The sequence below is a fragment of the Homo sapiens genome, chromosome 15, assembly GCF_000001405.40.
Source record: "Homo sapiens chromosome 15, GRCh38.p14 Primary Assembly".
Taxonomy (NCBI): domain Eukaryota; kingdom Metazoa; phylum Chordata; class Mammalia; order Primates; family Hominidae; genus Homo; species Homo sapiens.
Genome location: NC_000015.10, coordinates 74,014,141 through 74,036,395, shown reverse-complemented (window position 1 = coordinate 74,036,395; position 22,255 = coordinate 74,014,141). Strand labels below are relative to the sequence as shown.

At 47.8% G+C, this 22,255-nt stretch overlaps 1 protein-coding gene across 9 annotated transcripts in view, besides 1 other annotated feature; it reads right to left on the bottom strand.

Annotated features, from left to right (window-relative positions):
- PML (PML nuclear body scaffold) overlaps positions 1-22,255 on the bottom strand; it is a 53,112-nt gene that overhangs the window by 11,432 nt on the left and 19,425 nt on the right. For 2 of the 9 annotated variants that reach the window (NM_033238.3, NM_002675.4), the window contains exons 3-7: positions 12,988-13,568; positions 11,469-11,539; positions 3,681-3,824; positions 2,982-3,240; positions 1,866-1,918 (exon numbers count right to left, since the gene is read on the bottom strand). In NM_033238.3, the coding sequence (NP_150241.2) occupies positions 1,866-1,918; positions 2,982-3,240; positions 3,681-3,824; positions 11,469-11,539; positions 12,988-13,568 (1,108 nt within the window). Of the gene's footprint in view, position 1; positions 1,919-2,973; positions 3,241-3,680; positions 3,825-11,468; positions 11,540-12,987; positions 13,569-22,255 lie in introns of those variants that run through there. The other 7 variants (NM_033244.4, NM_033239.3, NM_033240.3 and 4 more) reach the window with 7 other exon arrangements.
- Positions 17,037-17,207: a silencer, noted in NCBI's record as "fragment chr15:74311530-74311700 (GRCh37/hg19 assembly coordinates)". NCBI's record gives its function as "represses an EF-1alpha promoter that drives an FKBP-Casp9 reporter gene in an ReSE screen in phorbol 12-myristate 13-acetate-treated (for megakaryocytic differentiation) K562 erythroleukemia cells {active_cell/tissue: K562(+PMA)}" and the evidence as "EXISTENCE:reporter gene assay evidence [ECO:0000049][PMID:32094911]".

Genomic DNA, 22,255 nt, shown 5'->3' with positions numbered 1-22,255 from the left:
GTGATGGTTCAACAAGTGTTTATTGAGCAGCCACATCTGCCAGGTCTTGGGATAGCCAGTCCCTGTGCTCATGGGCTTAGATCCTGGCAGAGGCCTAGTGGAGAGGCTTGGGGTGGGGGTCGGGGCATGGAAGGCTGTGCTATTGGCCAGGGACTCAGAATACAGGAGAGTGCAAGGGTGACAGAAGTTTCTTTCTTGGGCAAAGAGGCCTGGAATGGTGGCTTGAATCTCAGCCATGCCTTAGCCTTCCCCTCTCAGCCAGAGAAGACCCAGGTCTCCCTGCCCAGAGGTCCATGCATAGCCATTCATTCGTTGATTCATTCCTTAACCAAGAATTAATGAGTGCTACTCTGTGCAGGGCCTGTAAGAGCATGGGCTGGAGGAGGCAGCTCAGGGGCCGGGCAGGGGTGTTGGCTGCAAGGTTACAAGAGAAGGGTAGCACTCTCAGAGGCCTGCTTGACGGGCGCCTGGGACTGGGCTGATGGGGGGCCTTTCTGGGGCACAGGGTGGTGGGAATGTAATTGGAGAGGCTTCCAGAGGCACTTGGACTTGAGAGGCCTCCATGGAGCCTCTGACAGAGTCCCCAGGGGGAACACCTGCTCCAAGAGTCTGGGCTCTGCTTTCCCCTGCCCCCACCACGGAAGACATGTCAAGCTGGGAAGCCATGGAGGAGAAGGGGAGGGCAAAAAAGTTGTTGAGCCACTGGGATAAATGGGAGGAGCCCCGGAGGGAGCGGCTGCGGGATCGCACAGCCCCTCGTATCCGGTGGGGTGGGCTGATGCCCCTTTGCAGCTGGGCAGGATGTTCCTGGGCATTGGCAGGATGGTTGAGGGGCCCTGTGATGGCAGGAGTGCTGGCTTGGACCACATGGGGAGACCAAGTCCGAATAGGGGCCCGATGCAATTGAGGGTGCAAGCGGAGGGCATGGCGAAGGCGGATGGCTCTCTGTGCTCTGTACAACAGGTAGCGGATCCCACGGTGGACGGCAGGGCGCTCCTGGTGATCAGGAGGCTCGCTGTGAGGCTCAGCATCGGGGGTGGCAGCCTGCTCAGCGGGCTGGTGGGGAGGCCAAGCTGGGGGGTGGTATGTGCCACAGGGCAGGCTGGAGGCTCCTTGTGCTCTCAGCAGAGACTGGACTGGCGAGGAGTGGGCTGGCGAGGAGTGGGCTGGCGAGGAGTGGGCTGGCGAGGACTGTGGCTCGGCGGTCTCCATGGGCTCCATGCACTTTCCAATACAGAACCTCAGACTGAGGGCTGGAAGAGACCTCAGGGGCCACCCAGTCCAACCTTTCACTCTATTCAGATCCCCTTTTCCCCTGGACAGGTGATAGTCCAGCCTCTAGTAATAAACCTCTAGGGACAGAAGGGTCACTACCCACGAGGCCACCTGTTTCACTGTGGAATGGATTTATATATCTTTCTACATGGATGGAGTCAAACCTCACTTGTTTGGCCCCTATATAGCTGCCCTGTGGCCTGACACCCCTTCACTGGCCCCCACTGGCTGTAATAAACCAAGGAATGGATTCTTGTCCAGCCCTCCTCACTGAGGACTTAGAGGACAGAAAATGCATAAGGAAGCTCCAGACAAAGGTCTTGGACATTCCAGAAAAGAGACAGGGCTCTGGACACATGCTATCAGCATTTCAGAAGAGCTCCTGGCCCTGGTGTAGTGGGAGGGCTGGGGTGGTCCAGGCATGCAGCTGTCATTTGGAGACTGTCCTCAGCACAGCTTGGGACTCAATGCCTCACTGGAAAATTCCCCAGGCGCAAGGCAAGTCTGAGAGTCACCTGCTGTGGCTGTGCCCCCTGGGACCTGAAATGGGGGGAGGCAGGAGTCCTGGGCTGAACTTCTGGGCCACTCACCGAGTTTTCGGCATCTGAGTCTTCCGAGCTGCTGATCACCACAACGCGTTCCTCTGAAACGGGGAAGGGGAGATGCATTATGAACTGCCTAGGATGCATGCTGGGAGGGGTGTGGGTGTGCACCTATGGGAATCCTTGCAGGCCAGTCGGCTGGGGGAAACGGATGCCCTGCAGGGGGACGGGAACAGCCACTGTGTGTGCCAATGTGACTCTGCTTTGCATTTGGATTTGAGTAATTCACAAATGGGTTTCCATAATTTCTTGCTGTGCCTTATCTATGAATATTCAATTAAGTTATCTGCCCAGAATTCAGAATTTGCCCCCTGTACAGGAGGCCTGACAACTGCTACCTGGTCTGGAACCTTCTGCAATCCTAAAGAAGCACACTGTCCCCATTCTCAGCTCCATGAGCTGGGATGTCTAGAGTTAAAAGACGCTTCATTTAGTTAATCAAAACCCATCGATTACCAATAGCATTTGTGGGTAAGGAATATCAGTCAGTGCTCAGTGTGTGACCAAGGCTAGGGCTCAGTCAGAATGAGGAACAAAGCTGTACTCTGGGTGAAGCAGATCCTTAGAACTCTCTTGTTCCAGATTCCTCTGGGTTGACCTCAACTCCTGCCCAACTGACTACCTGCCTGGCAGTGTTCATAGAAGATAACTCTGACAAATGAGATACTTAGGTAGGTGGCCTTTGCAGAAACACTTGGGGAAATGATGGGTGTAGACTGAGAGAGCAGAGTTAAGGTCATGGGGAGTCCAGTTTCCTGTTATGGTATGCCCAAGCCCTCTCTGGGAGTATGCTAGGCATCAGCCAACAAACTTCTTGTGGAGACCTGCCCTGTGCAAAGGCACAGTAGTGTTTGGGAGAAAGGACTCATAGAACTGTGCATTTTAGCCTGTCAGGCTCCCCACACCTCAATCATGGCAAAACACATGGTAAACTGTGTCCACTCTCACCCCCACGCACACTGTGAACTTTCCCTATCTTATTCAGTGGGAATAAGGGACTCCTGTTGGCTTTGGGCTTTCTGGATGGGGCCAAAATACAGAAGAGGGGCACCGCCCAGACCCTGGCGGGCAGCACCCAGGCCACTGCCCTACCCACCTCCCTACCTGCCTCCCCGGCGCCACTGGCCACGTGGTTGCTGTTGGGCAGGAAGACCTCACTTCCTATGACGGGGCTCCTGGGGCTAGGCGGTCCATCCAGGTGGGGTGGTGAGACTGCCTTGGAGGTGCTGGGCCTGGGCTGCTCCGGGGAGCTCCGAGCCAACCTTGCCTCCTTCCCCTCCTCAGACTCCATCTTGATGACCTTCCTGGGGCACTGGGTCTGGCTGCACTTCCTCTTCTGGGCTGTCGTTGTATTGGAGACATCCTGCATAGAGGGAGTCACAGAGCCAGGTCAGGTGCCTGCAGGGGTGAGTGGGCAGAGCCTGCCCTGACTGCCAGGGACTTGTGGCCACCCTTTTGCTCCTGCTGTCCCCTCTCCTCTGCTCTCAACCACGCAGATTACGTCTCTCTTCAGACAGGAAGCCTTCCCAAGCTGGTACTATCTGCTGTCCACCAGTCTCTGCTGGCCTCTGACAACCCTGAGTGTCTCAGCACCCCTGCTGGGCTGGGAGTGGGCCATGCTTATGGGAAGCTCCCTGACCATGCAGCCAAGAACAGGGGAGAGCACAGAGAAGGCGTTGAGCAAACACTTTCCCACAAAGAGCTGATCTGATGAAGGCCTGGATTCCCACCCCAGTGCCAGCTCACTTTCCTGGTGGAACTCAGGCCTTCAGGAGGGAAGGCTGGGGCTGGGGAGAACCTTACCTCTCCATAGGAAGGGCCTTTGATGGAGAAGGCGTACACTGGCACGGGGTGTGCCCCGGGCACTGACTGTACCACAGCCATAGGCTGGGCTTCAGCCAGCCCCAGGGCCTGAACCTGGGCCTTCACTCTCTCTGCCTCCTCGGGCTGCAAAGTTGGGAAAATTGAGTCAGAAATGACTAGGCAGCAGCCCCAGGGCCAGGTACCCCAGACCTGTGGTTGGCCTAATCCCTGGGGCCTCACCAAGTCACAGGTCCAGGCTCCCTGACTCAAAGCTCCGAGCTCACTGGGGACAAGAAGTCCTCCAAACTCTCCATCACATCACCTCCTTTTTTTAAAAAAATTTTTTTGTAGAGACAGGGTCTCACTATGTTGCCCACGCTGGTCTTGAACTCCTGGGCTTGAGCAATTCTCCTGTTTCAGTCTCCCAGAGTGCTGGGATTACAGGCACGAGCCACCGCGACTGGCATCACCTCCTTCTGACTCTGAGTTACTGGAGCCCAGGGACCACTTTGGTTGTTGTGTGTCCTAACAGGGCTGGAAGATACCCCAGGAATCACACTGCCCAACTCAGGACATGCTCAGTAATTAGCCCTACTTAGACACACACCTCCAGGGACAAAGTGCTCACTACTGGCGAAAGCAGCTCCTTTAACAGTGAGAAAATCCTCCCATTGAGCTGAAACTGGCCTCCCTGGGACCTTGCCTCTGCCCTCTCAGCCTTAACTCTACCTGGGTCAGCTACTACACAAGTTGGATGAATTGCTTAAAACTCCTCAGGCCTCAGTCCCCCTCTATAAAGTGGGAATAATAACATCTACCTCATATGGTAATGTGGATGAAATGTGTTAATACAAGTAAAATATAAAATACCTGGCACTTAGAAAATGTCATTGATGATGATAAATATTGTTCTTATTACTACTCTGTGCCAGGCACAGTGCTAAGTGCTTCATGTACCTATCTCAAAATGAAATAGAGGCAGTTTCTTAAAAAATTAAATGTAGAATTACCATATGACCTAGCAATTCTACCCCAGGTGTGCACCCAAAAGAAGGGAAAACAGACGGTTAAACAAAAGCTTGCACGTGAATGTTCAGAGCAGCACTACTCACAATAGCCAAAAGGTAAAACAAACTAAATGTGCATCAACTGATGACTGAATAAACAAAATGTGGTATAGCCACGTGATGGAATATTATTCAGCCATAAAAAGCAATGAGGACTGAGATGTACAACATGGATGAGCCTTGAATGTATTACATTAAATGAAAGACACCAGCCAGACGTGGTGGTGCACACCTGTAGTCCCAGCTACTTGGGAGGCTGAGGCATGAGAATCGCTTGAGCCCTGAGGCAGACATTGCAGTGAGCCGAGATTGTGTCACTGCACTCCAGCCTGGGGCACAGAGTGAGACTCTGTCTCAAACACTAATAATAATAATAAATTTTTTTAAAAAAAGAAACCAGACACAAAATACACATTGTATGATCCTATTTACATGCAATGCCCAGAATGGATAAATCCATAGACACAGAAAGCAGATTGGTGGTTGCCAGGAGATGGGGGAGGGGGAAATGGGACTGACTGCTTCATGGGTAAGGGGTTTCCTTTTGGGGGCATAAAAATATTCTGGGGCTAGATAGGTGGCAATGGCTGTGCAAGATTATGAAAGTACAGGAGGCTGAGGTGGGAGAATCACCTGAGCCTCCCACCTAGGCAACATAGCAAGACCTCATCTCTGAAAATTAAAAAGAAAAAAATTTAATCATTTGAGCTGGAGCTGCAAAGAAAAAAAATTAAAAAATTTAAAAAATATTATGAATGTAATAAATACCACTAAATTGCACACTTCAAGAGTTAAAATGGTGAATTTTATATGAATTTTATCGCCATAAAAATTATAGTTAAAAAAAAAGTAGGTACCGTACTATGATTATTGCCAATCTTCAGAGAAGGAAACGGAGGCAGAGAGAGGTGAAGTGATTTCCCAAGGTCACATACCTCGGGACCCCTGGCCTGACTTGAATCTAGTGTTTTTTGTTCGTTTGTTTGTTTGTTTGTTTTGAGACAGAGTCTTGCTCTGTTGCCCAGGAGATGGAGTGCAGTGGCACTATCTCGGCTCACTGCAACCTCGGCTTTCTGGGTTCAAGCGATTCTCCTGCCTTAGCCTCCTAAGTAGCTAGGATTACAGGCGCACAGCCCCACGCCCAGCTAATTTTTGTATTTTTAGTAGAGATGGGGTTTCACCATGTTGGCCAGGCTGGTCTCAAACTCCTGACCTCAGGTGATCCACCCGCCTCGGCCTCCCAAAGTGCTGGGATTACAGGCATGAGCCACCACACCTGGCCAAATCCAGTGTCTTGAAATGGAGGCCTCTTCCTGCCCCGGCGTGCTCTTCATTTTCTTTACTTGATGAGTCTTTTATGTCCCTCCCCACCATCTTTCTCTCTTTTGTGAACTTTAAGCGTCCACTGGACCGATTATTGAAAATGAGTGAGTGGCAGGGATACACCTTCCTCACAGGGACAAGCTCTGTCCCTCCTGTGTGGGCCTTCTGAGAACCACCCAGGCAAGCTGGGGCTGGGCAAGGAGGCTCCCGACAGAGGCTGCTGGGCATGTGAGTTAAGGCAGGGATGGCCCCAGCACAGTGCTGGCTCCTGGGTGTGCCAGGTACCAGAACCCCGCGGTGGGTCCTTCTCATGGGCTCCACACCATTGGCCATGATGGATTGACCTCCTTCCCTCCTCCCTTCCTTCCTTCCTTTCTTTTTCTCCAAATCTTTAAAAAGAAGGAGGATGACCTCTCTGGATTAGAGAGTGTGAGCCTGTCTTGGGAAGGAGAGAGAACAGATTATCTCCCAGGATCTGTCTCTGCCAGGCCTCTAGGAAAGTCTAGTCACTCTTAAGGCCAGTGGTTTTCAAACTGCAGCTTGTGACCCATTAGTGGATCCAACCATGAAAGCAATTTAGTGGGGCATGACCAACATTTTTATGTCAAAAATAATAGTATAGAATAGAAATTATCAGAGTACATCCCATGTAACAATCATAATTTATTCTGTAAAACTTTTTTCTTTCTTTCTTTTTTTTTGAGGCAGAGTCTTGCTCTTGTTGCTCCGGCTGGAGTATAGTGGCATAATCTTGGCTCACTGCAACCTCTGCCTCCCAGGTTCAAGTGATTCTCCTGCCTCAGCCTCCTGAGTAGCTGGGATTACAGGTGCCTGCCATCACGCCCGGCTAATGTTTGTATTTTTAGAAGAGACGAGGTTTCATCATGTTGGTCAGGCTGGTCTTGAACTCCTGACCTCAGGTGATCCACTTGCCTCCGCCTCCCAAAGTGCTAGGATTACAGGCGTGAGCCACTGGACCCAGCCTATTTTATAAAACTCCTTTAGCTACAGTATGTGTGTGCATATGTATATACTATAAGTTAAGATATAATATATATTTTTTTTCAATAGAGGATAGTGGTCAAAAAAGAGTTTAACCCACCTCACACACATTAGAATGACTATTATTTAAGAAAAAAAGAGAGAGAGACAATATAACAAATGTTGGTGAGGCTGTAGAGAAGTCGAAACTTTTACACGGTGCTGGTGGAAATGTCAAATGGTGCAATAAAAAATGGAAAACAGCATGGTGATTCCTCAAAAAAAAAATTAAAAATAGAATTACCATATGATCCAGCGATCCCACTTCTGAGTAAACATGCAAAATAATTGAAAGCAAGGTCTCAAGGAGATATCTGTACACCCGTGTTCATAGTAGCAGATTCACAATAGCCAAAAAATGGAAACAAGCCAAGTGTCCAACAGACGAATGGATCAACAAAATGTGGCATATACACATAATGGGATATTATTATTCAGCTTTAAAAAGAAAGGAAATTCTGACACATGCTACATGGATGAACCCTGAGAACACTGCACTAAGTGAAAGTGGCCAGTCACAAAAGGACAAATACTGTGTGATTCCACTTATAGGAGGTACCTAGAGTATTGAAAATCATAGAGACAGAAAGTAGACAAGGGTCACCAGGGCTGAGGGAGGCAGCATGGGGAGTGACTGTTTAACAGGAACAGAGTTCCAGCTTGGGAAGATGAAAATCCTTCTGGAACGGGTGGTGGTAATGGCTGCACAGCAGTGTGAATGTACTCAATGCTAAAGAACTGTACACTTAGTGTACACTGAACTGAACATTTTGAAATGGTTAAGATGATGTATTTTATATTATGTGTATTTTACCAAAATTAAACATTTTTTTTTTTTTTTTGAAAAAGGAGTTTAAAAGGTCCTGCTCTATCGTTCTGTGTCTGGCTCTGCAAACTGCTGGTATGTAAAAGACCCTCTTTCCAGACAGGCCACGAACTCCCCGAAGGCCGGGCTGGCCTCTTCTCTGCCTCTGTCCCAACCTCCCTGACACACCCTCCATCCACGTTAATAAAACAGGGAACACACCAGAGGGCTCAGTAGAGAAAAACACATCATAATGACTGATTTATAATTTTTATAGCTTTAAAATAATAAATTTATTTTTTTCCATTAAAGTATTATAACACGATTACAAAAAGCCTATGAAAAACAGAGGAGGGAAAATATCTGAGCTGCTGCCACCCCACCCAAACAATCCTAGTGAAGCCTGTTGAGCTTTCTCTTCATCTCTTCCAGGCATATAGTTGCAATGAAAGTAAACAAACCAGCAGTTTCAAGAGGGATGAGTGCTGGAGCTAGATGCCCAACTCCTGCCTTCTAAGGCAGAAACACGGACCCAAGAGCTGCTTCTCTCCTGGCACAGCTGATGGAGCACTTTCCCTTGGGACAGCCGTCTGTGCCTGCCTCACCTGTCCTTGCACTCACAGTGTTCCCCACTTCCTTCCCTCAGCAGCACTGCCATCCCCAGGCAAGGATTGAAGCCAGAGGCTTGGCAAAAAGAGCAACCCTCTGATACTCCAAGTTCAAACTGCTTCCTAGCTGATAGTGAGAGGCCACGTCTATTCTGATTTTATCAAGACAAAGACCCAAAATACCTAGACCTTCACACAAGACAGTGCAGGCTCTCTTGTTGTTCATTCACCAATGACTAGCATCTGGAAGACAGCTGAGTCTGTGGACCAAGGGCATTTCCCTATTATTATTTTGATTTTATTTGTTTATTTGCTTTTTGAGACAGGGTCTCACTCTGTCACTCACGCTACAATGCAGTGGTGTGATCACAGCTCACTGCAACCTCAAACTCCCTGGGCTCAGGTGATCCTCCCACCTTAGCCTGCTGAGTACCTGGGATTATAGGCATGTGCCACCACACCTGGCTGATTTTTACACTTTTTGTAGAAACAGGGTCTCACCATGTTGCCGAGGCTGGTCTCAAATTCCTGGGCTCAAGCAATCTGCCCACGTCAGTGTCCCAAGGTCCTGGGTTTGCAGGTGTGAGCCACCACACCTGGCCTTATTATTTTATATTATTTATTTGCAAACATCATGCATTGTAGCATTGTTTGTAATAGCAAAACAACCTAAATATGCAGCAACAAGGAACTGGCTAAATAAAGCCTGCCATATCCATTTAATGGTCCATTATGCAGCTGCAAAAAGGTATCGGGAAGCTCTCTACCTATTGATAGGATAAGAATTCTGGTATGATACCATGTGTATCTGGTATTATCCTACCTTTGTGAAACACAGAATGCAAAAGGCAAATATCTATAATAATATTTGCTTGTAATTACATACATTCTGGAAGGATATATAAGAATTTAAAAAAGAGGTGGGGCACGGTGGCTTATGCCTGTAATCCCAGCACTTTTGGGAGGCTGAGGTGGGTAGATCACTTGAGGCCAGGAGTTTGAGAGTATCCTGGCTAACATAGCAAAACCCCATCTCTCCTAAAAATGCAAAAAATTAGCTGGGTGTGGTAGTGCGTGCCTATAATCCCAGCTACTCAGGAGGCTGAGGCATGAGAATCGCTTGAACCCAGGGGGCAGAAGTTGCAGTGAGCCGAGATTGTGTCACTGCACTCCAGCCTGGGTGACAGAGCAAGACTGTCTCAAAAGAAATTTTTAAAAGATAGTTATATGGGCATAAGAACTGGGGGCTAAAGTGGGAGTAAGACACTATTGATCACTTTCTATGTTTTTATTTCTGACTATGTGATTGTATTATGCACACATATATTAAAAAATTCCTCTTTTTACTTGAGGTTGTGTATATAGGAATGCAGTACCCAAGGCAGTTAAGAGTCAGCTTTTAGGCTGGGCACAGTGGCTCACGCCTGTAATCCCAGCACTTTGGGAGGCCGAGGCGGGCAGATCATGAGGTCAGGAGTTCAAGACCAGCCTGGCCAATATGATGAAACCCCGTCTCTACTAAAAAATACAAAAATTAGCCAGGCGTAGTGGTGCGCGCCTGTAGTCCCAGCTACTCGGGAGGCTGAGGCAGGAGAATGGCTTGAACCCCGGAAGCGGAGGGTGCAGTGAGCCGAGATCACGCCACTACACTCCAGCCTGAACAACAGAGCGAGCCTTCATCTAAAAAACAAACAAACAAACAAACAAAAAACAGAGTCAGCTTTTAATCTTGCCCCTAATTTGCTGTGTGTAGCCTTGGGTAAGTCACATCCTTTCTGGGTCTTAGCTTCGTCCTCTGTGAAAAAAAGGGGGTTAGACTCCATGCTCTTGCCTGGCTCTAAAACTCTGAGACTCTTAAGTCCTGTCTCTTCCAGGAAGCCTCTCCTGATTGCCTCAACCTACAGCACTCTCTCTCTCCTATGGGTCATGCCATGGCAAAAGCTAGGCCCCTACCCACCACCAGAAGACCTGCTGTCCATGAAGGACTGGCCAGTCCTGGGCCAGATCCTTGATAGGCTAGGCGCATGCAAACCTGAGTGACTAGGCTAGGGAAGAGACCAGATGCCAAGTCCAGGAAGAAACCGAGGATGCTTATTCTGGTGGAAAGGAGCCATACTTGTGAATGCCAAAGGGGGCAAGTCAAAGGGACACCACTGCATTTCCACTCGGAAAAGCACTTTCTAAGTCAGAGCAGTCCAGAGTTGGGAGCAGCTGCCTCTAGAATGAGCAAGCTTCCTGTCCCTGGAGATGTGTACATGAAAGCTGGACAGCCACAGGTCAGGGGTGCTGCAGAAGGAATGCCAGCATTAGATGGGACATGGATACCTTGAACCCTGAGACAGTCTGCTTTGTTACATGTATGGTGGCCCTGGAATCACACCAGCAGAACCCGGGCAACTGGGATCGAAATCTGACTCCTGGCACCATTCCCCGTTCCTTTCCAAGAACCATCTGTGGGGAAAGAGCAGGGGAAGGCCCACCTATTCTGACTCCAAGAGAAGGCTCCCACATTGGGGGTAGGGTGTAGGAGGGGAGAGGACATCTGCACATCCCTCAGGACTGCTGACCCTATATCTAACCATACATCTGACAACCATAGTTTCTCATGGCTGGAAGGCACTAATATGCCATCTAATGCTGGAATTCCCTCTGCAGCAGCCCTGATCTGTGGCCGACTGTCTACCCCACATCTAACCCCCACTGAACCTGGCTCATGGCCCATCAAGAGCAACTTTGGCATTTAGGAGCCTAGAGTCAGAGCCAGCTAGCCAGCCAACCCTTCTTTAATGTCTTCCTTTACTTCCTCTCACTGAAATTTCCAGTCCAGCCACTTGCTGTCCCTCACTCAGACGCTCTCCCTGCACACACAGGGACAGCAGGACTCACAACCTGCCTGACCTGCTGGGCCCCACCACCACCCCTTCAGACCTCAAACCCATCTCACCAGGTCAACGTCAATAGGGTCCCTGGGAGTGCTGGCAGCCTCTGGGCTGGCTTTCTTGGATACAGCTGCATCTGTAGAACACAAAGAAGGTCACAGGCAGGTCAAGGACATGCTGGTAAGGGACATCCTGACCTGGGACAGTGATAGAGAGGAGGTCCCTGTTGCTTTTCCAGGATACCTATTTTCCAGGGCATCCCAAAGCACTGGACAACTCCCTGGAGGGGCAGCTGGAAGGAGAGCTCTCTCGAATGCAGTGGGCAGGAACCCAGCCAGAAGGGAAAAGGAGGTGGCATTAGAGTGCTTGCTTTTGGCTCCAAACCCCAAGTGTACCTCTCTCCATCTCTGAGCCAACAGCAAGGCTAAGTGTGCGCAATCATAAAGCCATCACTACCGGCTCACTGACTCTCTACATATAGTGAGAGCTCCATGATCTTCCTTATCTGCAGCCTGGTTTTTATTAAATCTAAATCTCTTATGCTTCAGAATAAAATAACCCTTCTCTCTGCTATTGCCCAGTTATAACACCCAAGGCAAGCTGTGTAAACTCTGTGGGGTCATTTCCTTAATATGGGTGACATTCACTACCTAGGTGGAGAAGGCACAGGTCCAGGCCCTCTAAGATTATCCTTCATGACCCATGTCCAGCTCCAGGAGAAGTAAATAAGCTCTTTGTCACTGGCACCCTACCCAGGTGCCTTCAGATTCCATAGCCTCCCTCCCCTTTCCCAGTAAGGGCATCCTATACTAGCTGCTCAGAGCTCACATTCCAGCTTGGAGATTTAGTCAAAGACTCCTGGAGACTCTCTGGCACACTCCCCCTACCCCTTATTTTGAAAGCCCCCCTGTTCCAGCTAATACACAGCTGCTACATCTCCCGGATTTGGATTGCAGAGCTGAGCACTGTCTCATTCTCCAGCTACGTGAAGTGGCTCTGGCTCCTTGAGATCAGAAACTAGTCTGTGTCTCCTTACCTCTCAAGCGTCCAACACTAGGCAGGGCGCGCAAAGGTTGGCAGACAGCAGGTCATCCTGCAGACAAGGGATCTCCTCCACTGAGCCACTGTATGGTTTTGGGTAAGCATCCAACCATCCCCAGGAGGTTTTCTTAGCCCCCTTCTACCGTAACCCCAGGTCCCAATTGACTTCTCTGTTCCGAGACACCGGTGGCTTAAGAGAACCTCCTGAAGTGCTTGGTCCCTCTGGCGCCAAAATGATACTGGGTCTGATTCTCAGCTTTGCAGTTTTTCAACTTTCACGTGTTCCCCATGAGTCATCGCTAGGTCAATCCACAGAGTCTTGTAAATTAGTAAAATGTGTCCCCTCTGGGTGGCTGCAGCCCTTTGTCAGGGCCTCATCTCCCCCTTATCCTGTGCCCTGGAACCTAAGACCTTACCAACCCCCAAAGACTGAATAAACACCCAGTTTTCTTTTCTGTCAAATGGAGATGATCTCTTCTGACTCGCCTTCCCTAGGGTGCAGCAGAGGCACAGGCCGCCCAGGAAGGTGGCGTGCGTGCTTACCTTTCCCCTGGGTGATGCAAGAGCTGAGGTCCTGCAGGCGCACCTTGAACTCGTCGAAGCCATCGGTGCGCACGGCAGCTTGCAGGCTCTGGGGCTCCTCCTGGCGCAGGCGGCAGAGCGCCTGGCGCAGGAAACCGTGCATGTCCAGCACCTCCTGGTCCGAGGCGTAGCACTTCATCCTCTGCACCAGCGCGCTGCCCGTGCGGATGCGCTGCAGCACAGCATCCAGGCGGCCCAGCCGACTGGCCATCTCCTCGTAGTCGCGCTGGTACCGCGCGTCCACAGCCTCCAGCAGCTCGCGCTCCTGAGCCCGCACGTGAGCTACCACCTGGCGCACGCGCTCGCGGATCAGCTCCTCGGTCTCGGCACGCGCGCGGCCCAGCTGGCCGACGGCCGCGTGCATCTGCGCGTGAACCGCGCCAAAGGCACTATCCTGCTCCTGCAGCGCCTGCGTCATGGCGTCCAGCTCCTCCTGTCGCTGCTGGATCTCTGCGCTGATGTCGCACTTGAGCTCACTGTGGCTGCTGTCAAGGAGCGCGCACGAGCAGCACAGCGGCTTGGAACATCCTCGGCAGTAGATGCTGTGGACACACAAGGTTGGCCTGGGTTAGGACTCTCCTGACTTTTTCCTCTTAAAACGTTCGTTATTAAATTCCTCTTCCAAAAATACCAGACTTTGAATCATGGCATGTTTCTAGGTTTCTGCTTTTCCTAATTCAGTGTTTGTGGTTATGGTGATAGTATCCAAACTACCAATAACACATGAGTATAAAAAGTTACTACAGTAACAATTTCAACATCCGGGAAACAATACAAAGATATACGAAACGACAATCATCTCTTTCCACCACTTCTGAATTTCCCTTCCCCACCGAGGAAGCACCAGGTGAGCATCGTGGGGTGCACCCTTCCACACATCTCTCCACTGAAACCGCCTTACACAAATGCCAGACTGGGCTGCTGCTTGCAGGATGGTACAGACTTGACACATGTCAGCCATGCCACTTAACCTTTGCAAGAGCCCCTTGAGTGAGAATTGTCGTTATACATATTTCCCAGAGGAAGAAACAGAACATGTTAAATGATTGACCTAGATATCTACAATAATTTTGGGGGCTGATGTTTGTTCAAAAAAAAAGAAAGAAAGAAATCGGCCGGGCGCGGTGGCTCACGCCTGTAATCCCAGCACTTTGGGAGGCCGGGGCGGGAGGATCACCTGAGGTCGGGAGTTCAAGACCTGCCTGACCAACATGGAGAAACCCCGTCTCTACTAAAAATACAAAATTAGCCGGGTGTGTTGCCGCATGCCTGTAATCCCAGCTACTCAGGAGGCTGAGGCAGGAGAATTGCTTGAACCCGGGAGGCGGAGGCTGCGGTGAGCCCAGATGGTGCCATTGCACTCCAGCCTGGGCAACAAGAGCAAAACTCCGTCTCAAAAAAAAGAAAGAAATAAATCAAGTCATATAATTACTTTGAACTTCCTCCTCTCAACGAACTTTCACTCAGAGCATTCCTCTAGGTGCATAGGCACAGATCAGATGTATTCTCTTTAATAGCTCTGGTATATCCCAGATGGGCCACAATTGATTCAATCACTGTCGTTTTGCTGGCATTCAGGTAATTTCCTGTTTGTGCATTTTCTTTCTTTCGTTTTCCTTTCCTTTTTTTTTTCTTTTGGTGCCAATATGGACAACACTTTAGTAATATCCAAGTTATATAGCCTAATCATGGAAGCTTTTGTTCCTATGAAATAGATTATAAATATAGGCCTGCTAGATCAAAGTGTTTGTATTTTAATATTTTTATTTGGTTATTTTTTTTTTGAGATGGAGTTTCGCTCTTGTTGCCCAGGCTGGAGTGCAATGGCACCATCTCAGCTTACCGCAACCTCTGCCTCCCGGGTTCAAGCAATTCTCCTGCCTCAGCCTCCCGAGTAGCTGGGATTACAAGCATGCGCCACCACCCCGGCTAATTTTGTATTTTTAGTAGAGACGAGGTTTCTCCATGTTGGTCAGGCTGGTCTTGAACTCCCGACCTCAGGTGATCCACCCGCCCCAGCCTCCCAAAGTGCTGGGATTACAGGTGTGAGCCACCGTGCCTGGCCTGGTTAATATATTTTAGCTAGCAGATACTTCCATAGCATTTATTGTGTCTCAGATACTATTATAAGCATTGGCAAATATTTACTCATTCAATCCTCCTGACAATCCAGTGGAATAGATACCATTATTATCCCCATTTTAAGGATGAGAAAACTGGTGCAAGAGGCAAAATAATTTGTTCAAGATCACACGATTAGTAAGTGGTAGAGTCTAGATGCAAACTGTAGTAGCAGAATAGTGGCCTCTAAAGATGTCCACGTGCAAATTCCTGAGACCTGTGAATATGTCACCTTACTATGGCAAAAGGGTCTTTGCAGGTGTTATTCAATTAAGGACTTTGAGATAAAGAGATTATTCTAGATTATCTGGGTGGGTTCAACGTAATCACGTGAATCCTTTCAAAGGAAAGGGCAGGGAGGCAGGAGAATGAGAGGAGATGTGATGTGATGAATGCAGAGGTGGGAATGTTGTGATGTTGCCGGCTTTGAAGACAGAAAGGGGCCATGCACCAAGGAATGTGGGCAGCCTCTAGAAGCTGGGAAAGGCAAGAAAACGTTCTCCCTGAGAGCCTCCCAAAGGAGCAAAGCCTGCTGACACCTTTATATACCTCAGTGAGACCTGTTTCAGACTTCTTACCTCCAGAACCATAACAGAATACATTTACATTGTTTTAAGCCCCTAAATTTGTGGTAGTTTGTTACAGCAGCGAAAGAAAATATAAAAACCCAGGCAGTCCAGCTTAGAGTCCATGTTCTTAACCATTACAAGGCTGCTTCTTCAAATATTACCAGGGAAAATACTGTTAGTTCCCCAGAAATATTGCTGTAATTTACTCTCACCGGCAGTGATAAGAATAAGTCTTGGTGGTGTGCGCCTGTAATCCCAGCTACTTGGGAGGCTGAGGTGGGAGAACTGCTTGAACCCAGGAGGTGGAGGTTACAGTAAGCCAAAATTGCACCACTGTACTCCAGCCTGGCCAACAGAGCAAGACTCCATCTCAAAAAAAAAAAAAAAAAAAAGGAATAAGTCAGCCCACCTGAGGCCAGAAGAAAGGGTCTCATCTGGGACTACACTGAGATCAACTTGTTCTGGAACCACCAACAGAGAGCCTACTAGCCAGCCAGACTGATACATAGTGCTCATCAATGCTACGTTTAATTAGAAATACTAAGCAATTATGAAAAGAACTAATAACTCTACAGAAGGCAATTTGGCAATACCCATCAGAATTACAAATGCATTTAACCCAGCAATCCTCTTTCTTTGGATCTGCTCTGCAGCTCTATCTCTACACATAACAAGATGATATCCATACAATATATTCACTGCAGCACAGTCCACAATAGCAAAGAATTAGAAGCCACCCACGTGTCCCTCACAAGGCAATTAGTTACATAAATTATGATCCACCCATACAACGGAATACTATGTAGCTGTAAGCCATTGAGGAAGCTCTTTATATACTGATAAGGAAAATTCTCCATGGAGAAATGAGGTTAATAATAGGAGTACTGGAAGGATTAAATGAGTTAATATATGGATAAAAGTTTGAAAAATGACTGGCATACAATGAGTGTTCAATAAATGCTAACTATTTGTATTATTATGATATATATTTTAAGTTAGAAATCAAGGTGCAGAAATGTGTGTATCAGATGCTACCTTTTGTGTAAGAATGGGGAAAAATAAGAATATCTTCATAGTTGATTGTATTTGAATAAATAAATATTAAAAGGACATGCAAATTAATAAAAGTGGCTATGGGATGGGTGGAATGAGGGTAGAGTAAGACATTCACTGCATACCTTTTTAGATTATGTTTGAGCCTTGTGAATGTATGAATGTATTCCTTTTTTTGAAATTAAAAAACAGAATACTAATAAATGTGGGCAATTCTATAGGGTATAGGAATAAAGGGAAGAGAATAAGAAACAGTTGTTATTTTCCCCCTTTGGATCTTGGACACTTGGGGAGAGGGGCTGTGTCTGATGTTGGATCCCCTTCCTTGGAGACAGGGTTCCAAGCCTGGAAGGGCACGCCTCAGGCAGCCTGGCTGGATAGAGAGCAAGACGTTCTGGATGGCCATAGCCTCCGCTGGGTCCTTTTTCTAAGCTTCTTTTGTCCTGAATGGGGTCTCCCTAGGGTGACTGGCCCCTGCTTTCCCTCTAGATGGAAATGGGCGGCAAGTGTCTGTGAGGTGGCTAGCCTGAATCAGACACCTGGGTCTAAAAGCCCCCAGCCCTCTGGTAAGACTGAGGTGCAGATCCTGAATCAAAGGGCTGCCACCCAGGGCCAGGAATGACCTTAGCCAAGCGGTTCCTTTACCTTCATTCAGAGGACACTCACTGAGTACCTGCTGCGTGCTTGGCACTTTGGAGGAGGCAGAGGTGAAGTGGGAAACTGCCCAGAAGGGCTCCGTGACAAGAACCCAGACTTAACCGTATCTTCAGAAAGGCGAAATAACATCTATTTGCTTCTGGAATACTCAAAACAATAAGCAAAAACACCACTAACTTAATAAGAAATTGCTCACCAAAGTGGCTAGATTACATAATAATTAAGAAAGAAAAATAGCATAATTCTATCTTAGCAAAGCAAATGAGAAGAAATATGGGAAAAAAATCCATCTTCCCATTCACAGCAGCTATTTAAAAAATTCTACAAAGCCATGATTGTGTGCCTATAGTCCCAGCTACTAGGGAGGCTGTGGTGAGAGGATTGCCTACACCCAGGAGTTCCAGGCCAGCCTGGGCAACTCAGCAAGAACTCCATCTCTAAAAAACTTTTTTTAAATTAAAAAAAAGAAGGTACAAAATACCTAGAAAATGACAAAAACCTACTAAGAGATAAGACTAAATATTATAAGATTATTAATTCTCCTTGAGTTAATAAACAGGTTTAAGGCAATTTAAATTATTTTTGAAACTTAACCAAAGTATTCTAAATTTCTTTTCTTTCTTTTTCTTTTCTTTTTTTTTTTTTTTGAGACTGAGTCTCACTCTGTTGCCCAGGCTGGAGTGCAGTGGCACAATCTTGGCTCACTGCAATCTCTGCCTCCCTGGTTCAAGTGATTCTTGTGCCTCAGCCTCCCAAGTAGCTGGGACTACAGGTGTGAGCCACCATGCCTGGCTAATTTTTTTTGTATTTTTAGTAGAGCTGGGGTTTCACCATGTTGGCCAGGCTGGTCTCGAACTCCTGATCTCAGGTGATCCACCCGCCTCAGCCTCCCAGAAGTGCTGGGATTACAGGCGTGAGCCACCACGCCTGGCTAGGTTTCTAAATTTCATATGAAGGAACAAACAGATAAAATAGCTAAGAAAAAAATTTTTAATTTTATAGAGACAGAGTCTCAACATTTTGCCCAGGCTGGTCTCAAACTCCTGGGCTCAAGTCATCCTTCCACCTTGGCCCCAAAAGTGCTGCGATTTCAGGCCTAAGCCACTATGACCAGCTGCTAAGAAATGTTTGAGGAATCAGTGTAAGGAAGGGATAACACATTATAGAAATGCCATTATTAAGAGAATATGGTACTAGTTCAAGAGTCAAGAGAAGGATCAGTAGAACAGACCAGATAGGCCTGATGTAGTCCCTGGCATCTATAGAAATGTAATATTTTATATAACAAAGAAAGCAACCCATCTTTTTCTCTTTTTTCTTTTTGAGAGAGTCTCACTGTGTCACCCAAGCTGGAGTGCAGTGGCGTGATCTCAACTCATTGCAACCTCCACCTCCTGGGTTCAAGCGATTCTCCTGCCTCAGCCTCCCAAGCAGCCGGAACTACAGGTGTACGCCACCACACCTGGCTAATTCTTTTGTATTTTCAGTAGAGACAGGGTTTCACCATGCCGGCCAGGCTGGTCTCGATCTCCTGACCTCAGGTGATCCGCCAGCCCCTGCCTCCCAAAGTGCTGGGATCACAGGCGTGAGCCACTGCGCCCAGCCAGCAGCCCAAACTGATGGACATTAAAGGGGTTTTCAACAATTGGAATCAGAGAAATTGGCTAGGGAGGAGGGTAGGGGGCAGGAATGAAGTTAGAGCCTTGCTTCTTGTTTCATACCCATATATGCTTCCAATGAATCACAAAGTTAAATGTGTAAAATTACATCTCGAAGGAGAAAACACAGTGGACTATTTACTCTCACCATAGTAAAGACACTATAATTACTGAAGAAATAAAAGAAACCATACAATCAATAGATGCCACTGCCCGGCCGGGCGCGGCGGCTCATGCCTGTAATCCCAGCACTTTGGGAGGCCGAGGTGGGTGGATCACGAGGTCAGGAGATCGAGACCATCCTGGCTAACATGGTGAAACCCCATCTCTACTAAAAAATACAAAAAATTGGCCGGGCATGGTGGCATGTGCCTGTAGTCCCAGCTACTCAGGAGGCTGAGGCAGGAGAATGGCATGAACCCGGGAGGCGGAGCTTGCAGTGAGCCAAGATCGCACCACTGCACTCCAGCCTGGGCGACAGAGCGAGACTCCATCTCAAAAAAAAAAAAAAAAAAAAAAGATGCCACTGCCTAAAAAATTCAAAACTGTATATTTTTTTGAAAGATCTTCATGACTATTTATAAGAAAAGCAAGTTATACAACACTAAATGTTGTTCATTTTGTTTTAGATGATCACAGAGATAGCAAAAAGGAAAGGAAAAGGTCTAGAGTGATAGTAGTTTCCTCTTTCTCTCATCCCTCCTTTTCACCTATTTAGATTTTCCTAAACTTTCTATAATCAATTCTAAGTAAAGGAGTTTGGACTTTAAATAGGAAGCAATGGGGAACACTCAAAGAACATCCCATCTAGGTATTACAACAAAGCTCTTTCTCGTCTCTGGGATGTATTGTTTCATTTATCCCTTTATGATTATTCAGTGAAATAGCCACACTGTTAATTTTTTTTTCAGAGACAGGGTCTTGCTATGTTGCCCAGGCTGGACTTGAATTCTTGGGCTCATGTGATCTTCTCACCTCAGCCTCCTGAGTAGTGTATTTTATTTTATTTATTTATTTTTATTTATTTATTTATTTTGAGATGGAGTCTCGCTCTGTTACCAGGCTGGAGTAAAGTGGGGCAATCTCGGCTCATTGCAACCTCTGCCTCCTGGGTTCAAGTGATTCTCCTGCCTCAGCCTCCTGAGTAGCTGGGACTATAGGCGTGCACCACCACACTCAGCTAATTTTTGTATTTTTAGTAGACACAGGGTTTCACCATGTTGGCCAGGATGGTCTCAATCTCTTGACCTCGTGATCTGCCCACCTCGGCCTCCCAAATTGCTGGGATTACAGGCATGAGCCATCTCGCCTGGCCGAGTAGTGTATTTTAATAGAAGCCTCAACGTGTTTCCTGGGTTCTCAGTCTCCCCATCCTAAAGCTGTCCATGTCTAAACTGCTATGCCAAGAGTGGTATGTGTTAGCTCTTCCAAATTTCTAGCTACAAGGCCTTGAGCAAATTACCTTTTCTCTCTGAGTCTTAATTTCCCCACCTGTAGAATGGGAGTAATAATGCTTCCCTTATAGACTGTTACAAGCACAAAGACAGGCTGGTGTATGTGAAGGACTCAGCACAGTGCTATGTAGTCATTGGACATTCTGGAGCTATGAAAGAAGAGGGGGTATTACACATGGCACAGGACATCCCTGCTGTTGGGTGAACCTGTCAATGTCAGATTTGGGGTGTCCCCTCCCCAGTACAGATAGGCCACTATAGCCGCACCTGTTGGTTGGGCCAGGGGAGCATGCTACTTCTGCTGTTCTAGGAAACTGGTAGCTCTAAAATGCAAGAAGCAAAAATGTTATGAAATAGGACCAGTGAAGGAGAGCTGGTACCACCTGGCTTGCCTGAATGGTGACCAAAAACTCTCCTCTACCTGTCCCATTTCCATGCAGCAACTTGGCACTTTCACTTTGGTAGAGTGGTAAAAGAGAGCTCTTTTGGAAATTCAAGTAACTACAGTTAAAAGGATCCATCAATCATTTATACAGTAGTATGAATGCATTTTACCAGATCAGTTTCCTGCTATCTCACCATTGAAAAAACAAGATTTCTGAAACCAGGAGAGGAGATGGGTAATTCTAGAGCCTGGGATATTTGAAGAGAGTGAATGCATTATTCCTATGGACCTCCCCTCCAGTGATTTATTGGCTGAGAAGGTAGTGTTGGAGAGGGGAAAGCCTGAGGTCTTGGAGAAGAAGATACCAGAATAGAAAAGCAGCAAGGAAAGCGGTGAAAGGAAGCACTGTTTGAACTCCTGTCTGATGCTGGTGCCACACCCAGGAATGGGGAGGAGAAAGTTTGTGCTTTTTCTTCTCCACTCTTTTCTACACAGGTACCTGCTCCCAAGGCATATGGCTGGTGTATCCATAGTGGGCAGTGTTCCCCTGGATCATGTCACTCATTCAACAGGCAGTGGGTACACTGCCACGTGGGTTCCCTGTTTCTCCTGCCATCTTTATGGTGGGGAATGGCACCACCATTCAATGGCCACTCCTGGATGCCTCCCTGTCCTCTATGGCTTCAATGATTTCTTTTTTTTCTTTTTTTTGAGAAAGAGTCTCGCTCTGCCACCCAGGCTAGAGTGCAGTGGCATGATCTCGGCTCACTGCAACCTCTGCCTTCCAGGTTCAAGTGATTCTCCTGCCTCAGCCTACTGAGTAGCTGGGACTATAGGCACCCGCCACCACGCCCAGCTAATTTTTGTATTTTTAGTAGAGACAGGTTTTCACCATATTGGTCAGGCTCGTCTCGAACTCCTGACCTTGTGATCCACCCGCCTCGGCCTCCCGTCTCTAATAAAAATACAAAAATTAGCTGAGTGTGGTGGCGGGCACCTGTAATCCCAGCTACTTGGGAGGCTGAGGGTAAGAGAATCACTTGAACCCAGGAGGCAGAGGTTGCAGTGAGCTGAGATCACGCCACTGCGCTACTGCCTGGGAGGCAGAGCGAGACTCTATCTCAAAAAAACCCCCCCAAAATTACTAAGTACCAACTAGGTCTAGGCATGCGGCAAGGGTGTAAAGATGATTAAGGCAGAATGCTGGCTCCTAAACCTGTCCCAGCAGTTCCCACTGCTACTGCCTCTGTTCTTGCCTCAATTATTGCTTATCTCCTTGAGCACGATGTCCTAAGAGGCCTCCCTGCCTCTGGTCTCTCCAGCTCCAATCAG